The sequence below is a fragment of the Homo sapiens genome, chromosome 6 (assembly GCF_000001405.40).
Source record: "Homo sapiens chromosome 6, GRCh38.p14 Primary Assembly".
Classification (NCBI taxonomy): domain Eukaryota; kingdom Metazoa; phylum Chordata; class Mammalia; order Primates; family Hominidae; genus Homo; species Homo sapiens.
In genome coordinates this window covers 113,683,978-113,688,756 of record NC_000006.12, presented here as the reverse complement: position 1 = coordinate 113,688,756, position 4,779 = coordinate 113,683,978, and positions in this window count along the sequence as shown.

The following is a 4,779-nucleotide window of genomic DNA, read 5'->3' as shown; positions in this document are numbered from 1 at the left end:
AGGATGGTCTTGAACTCCTGGTCTCAAGTTATCCGCCCACTTGGCTTCCCAAAGTGTTGGGATTACAGGCGTGAGTCACCGCGCCTGGCCGTGACTTCACTTTCATGTTGATGTTAATACCAGGAAGTAATAAGGTTGCGTTTGCATACCTTTTGGGGACTTCAGTTTTCATGCTGAAAACTGTTCTTGTAACACTTAAATTGTGGTGAGCAGTTTAAATTATGTGAGCAGTTTAGCTTTTAAAAATTCCCTGAAATGCTTTGATATGGAACTTAGACTCAAATAAGACATACTAGGCAGAGAGAAAATTGGAATACTTGAAATACAAATTAATCAAAATTTACTGAACAAATATACTTTAATATAAGGTACAATAACAGAAGAAAGGTAATACTTTATTTTCTTAGTGATTATTTGAAAATTGTTCATTTCTTCTTTCCCTTGACATTCTTTGCCTTTTCTAAATCACCTTCAGTGAAAAAAGTAATTTACTTCTTAGAACAATCAATTATGTATGCTTTTTCAGCTAAGGATTAAAACATGGGCATTCTTATACCAAAATTATTTTTTTTCTTTTCTTTTGCCTACCTGTCTCAAGTCATCCAAGCCGTAATGCAGTGGTACAAGCTCAGCTCACTGCAATCCCCGCCTCCCAGGTTCAAGTGATTCTCCTGCCTCAGTCTCTTCAGTAGCTGGGATTACAGGCATGCACCACCACGCCCAGCTGATTTTTGTATTTTTAGTAAAGACATGGTTTCACTATGTTGGCCAGGCTGGTCTCTAACTTTTGACCTCAAGTGATCCGCCCGACATGGCCTCCCAAAGTGCTGGGATTACAGGTGTGAGCCACAGTGCCTGGCCTTTTTTTTTGAGATGGAGTTTCGCTCTTGTTGCCTAGGCTGGAGTGCAATGGTACAATCTCGCCTCACCGCGACCTCTGCCTCCCAGATTCAAGCAATTCTCCTGCCTCAGCCTCCCGAGTACCTGGGATTACAGGCGTGCACCCCCATGCCCAGCTAATTTTGTATTTTTAGTAGAGACAGGGTTTCTTCATGTACGTCAGACTGTTCTCAAACTCTCGGCCTCCCAAAGTGCTGGGATTACAGGTGTGAGCCACTGCGCCTGGCCCCTTCCATACATTTTCATTCTTATTTCCGTAATTTTGGGTTTTTCTCACTCAATCCCCCTCCCTATTTGACAATAGTCTGTCCATATATTTTTCATTATCTTTATCATTATCTACATCTTCATAACCACTTATTGATACCTACATACCAGGCATGGTTTTAGGCCCTCTCTCTGTGGCATGGTGATTCTTACAGCAGCCTACAAAGTTTCACAGGTTAGGAAATTGAAGCTAAGATAGGGTGGTAGGGAGAATAATGGCCCCCAAAGATAGTCACACTCTACTCTCCAAAACCTGTGAATATGTTACCTTACCTGGCAAAAAGGATTTTGCAGATGTGATTGATGTTCAAACTTTGAGACAAGGAGATTGTCCCAGATTATTTGGGTGGGCCCAGTCTAATCACATTAGTCCTTAAATGGAGAGAATATTTCCTGGCTAAGTTATAGTGCAATGTGAAAATGAAGGAAGATGGCTGGCTTTGAAGCCAGAGGAAGGGGCCACAGCAAAAATGCAGGCAGCCTCTAGAAGCTGTAAAAGGCAAGGGAATATGGCCAGGTACAGCAGCTCATGCCTGTAATCCCAGGGTTGGAGGCCCTGGATTGGAGTTCAAAATCAGCTTAGGCAAAATGGTGAGACCCCTGTCTCTACAAAAGCATTAAAGAATAGCTAGGTGTGGTGGCATGTGCCTGTAGTCCCATCTACTTGGGGGATTGAGACGAGAGGATTGCTTGAGACCAGGAGTTCCAGGCTGCAGTGAACTGTGATCACACCACTGAACTCCAGCCCTGTCCCTAAAAACGACATAAAAAGCAAAAAGAATTTGAGCCAAAATGTCATTTGCTGATTGAATTATGTGGCTTTCTTCTATGCCATTCTGCACTCTTAGTAGTATCTAGAAGAGAATTGGTGTTTCTCTCAGCAAGTCAATGAATCTAAGCAAATTCTTTTTCTTGATTCTTCTTTCCAGTCTCTGGGCTACTAATTCATCTTTGCTCTGTATCTGTATCTAGCGCAGTGTGTCTGCTTCTCAATAGAACCCACATTATGAATGACAGTGGAAAATTTCTCAGTCTATGTGAATGTCCTGTAGTCCTCCATTAACAGTGAGTTTGAGAAGCAAAAGATGAAAACTGAAAAACATAAGCAGATCCTATGACACCTATGTGGTATTTGCTAATTATAAAAAGCCCTTTGGTTCTATGTAGTTATAAGAAAAGACATATTCCATTCTATTATGACCAGCTTGAGGTTAAAATGCAAGTTAAATTAGTATCCAATTTATTTCAAAAGGCTGTAGCTAAATTTCATACCCACGCACCATCTACCACTCTTATCATTTCACTGTCTCTCTATTGTTCTATTTACAGAACAAAAACAAAGAAGGTGATTTGTAAATATTGACTAAACAAAGGACATTTTAGAAAGGATTCCAAGAACTCTCTGTACTTTCATTACCCTTACACTGAAGTTATCTTCTAAAGAAGCAAATAATGTAGCTGAAAACATTCCCTCAGCATATATGCCTTGAGAGATTAGATTGCTATAAGTTGAAATTCAAGACAGAAAATGCAGTGAAGTAGTGGAAGGCAGAAAAGGATTAGATGACTGAAATTATTGTTAAAATAGTACTGAACATCTTGTTTTGCACAAATATTTATGGAATAAAATATCTTCTTTTCCATTATAGGTATCCCTGAAAATTATATATGAAGGCTGAATAAATGCTTTGAGGTAAAGGATTAACAGAGACATAAATATCAAATAGTTTTTCTTCTCTAAGAAAAAAGATTGCTAAATACCAGGATGGAATACTTAAGGAAATTATGAACTACCTCTTTACTTAAGTGTTCTTTTAAAACAAGATATATTCTTTAATCATCAGTGATTATTAAAGTGAGGCCAATTCTGAATTTTGGAGAATGGCCTGGTTGAGTCCTCAAGATTTTATTTCTGTCTCATTATTCCATGATCACTTGTGGGGTACTGCAATTGGATAAGGAGCTATCCTGACCTTGAGAATTAAGAAGGTTGTCTTCTTCATGTGTAAAGGTGTCTTCCTATCAGCATAAGCCTTTAAAAAGAGCAACATTTTTTTTTTAAAGTCAACTAGTTTATTAAAAAAAAAAAGTCTGGTCCCAATAATTCATTACATAAAACCTGTCATCTAAACTTTTCTGATGTTAGCTGCTCACTTTTTCCAATTTATGGTACCAACACACGAAACATGATGCCAGGCAAGAGATTTGCCATGGTTTTCAGGTGAGAGTGGAGGTTACAGTAGTGGCGATGATGATCTTCTCTTGGTTTTGCCAACCTTTATAAACTCTGTGGCAAAAGTTTAGACTTAAGATTGACCTGAGGACTCTTTAACCCCTGATCCATTTGTAATTTAACATTTTACGGCTGGAGCAAAGAGAAAGCAACATAGAAGTAAACATCTGGATTAGTCCAAAACCTTCTTTATTCTCAGATAACTCTGAATGAATTGATTTACCTTGAATAAATGCCTGTTGTCATTATGTATTTTAACTTGAAAATAATTATTTATTATACATTTTTAAATCAAACTACATATCTTCTTTCCTATACAAGGTTGAGGTTTGGGGTCTTCGCTTTCTTTCTATCTATAATTAGCTTTAATAAATATAAGAAAAATGTATTCTATTTCTGGGCACTTGAATGGCAGCAACTTCCTCTTTTAAAACAAAAGAGTTGATTTCTTTTCAAAACACTTCATGGTGCCAGTTCCACTGCATTCCCATTGTGCTGACTTTTTGCTCCTAGGGTTGATGAGCCAATCAATGATGCAGCTATGCAGATTAGGCTGACTAACATGTTCTACTACTGCTCTCTTCTCACCTGTTAAGTAGGACGACCTTGGGGTATAAATGTCCTGTTTTGGCTTCCGTGTTTACATTCTTCTTTCTTCTGCTAGCCACATCCTGATTATTCTTTGGATAGTCACCCTTGTCCTAAATGGTGTTGTTCACATAGAGCAAATTTCACTTTCTAGTGTCAGTAAGGGCCTATTTTTCAGGTGGGGGCATTGTGTGTTGTCCATCTTCCTGGTTGTAGTGATTATTCTAGCAATGGTTATGTGATCCAAGATATCCAGTATGTCTGCTCTAAGCTACTTGGTGCTATAATTGGGATAAGAGACAACCTTCTTGCTGGTTGCTAAGCCAGCAGGCCATAAGCCTAAAACCTGTGAGAACAATCTTACTACCACAAAGATGGTACTGCTTTAAAATAAAGCCCCACGTCTATCAGAGCTGAGGATGAAGGCAATTCTTAATGAAACTATCACAGAACATGGATCCAGACATTCATTTTCCCTGGACTTCTGAGTTACGTGAACCAAAAGTTGTCTTATTTCCTATGTCTCTTGCAGTAGCATTTCTCTCACTTGCAACTGAGTGAAGTCTTATTTGATGATTACAAGGGTAATGAATCACAGAGGCATTTTAGGTATATCACAAAGATCCCAAGGCAGACCAGGAATCAAACAATTTCCTTGTTTATTTCAGGAAATAGGCTGGGCACGGTGGCTCATACCTGTAATCCCAGTATTTTGGGAGGCCAAGGGTGGGGGAGTGTATCACCTGAGGTCAGGAGTTCAAGACCATCCTGACCAATATGATGAAACCCCA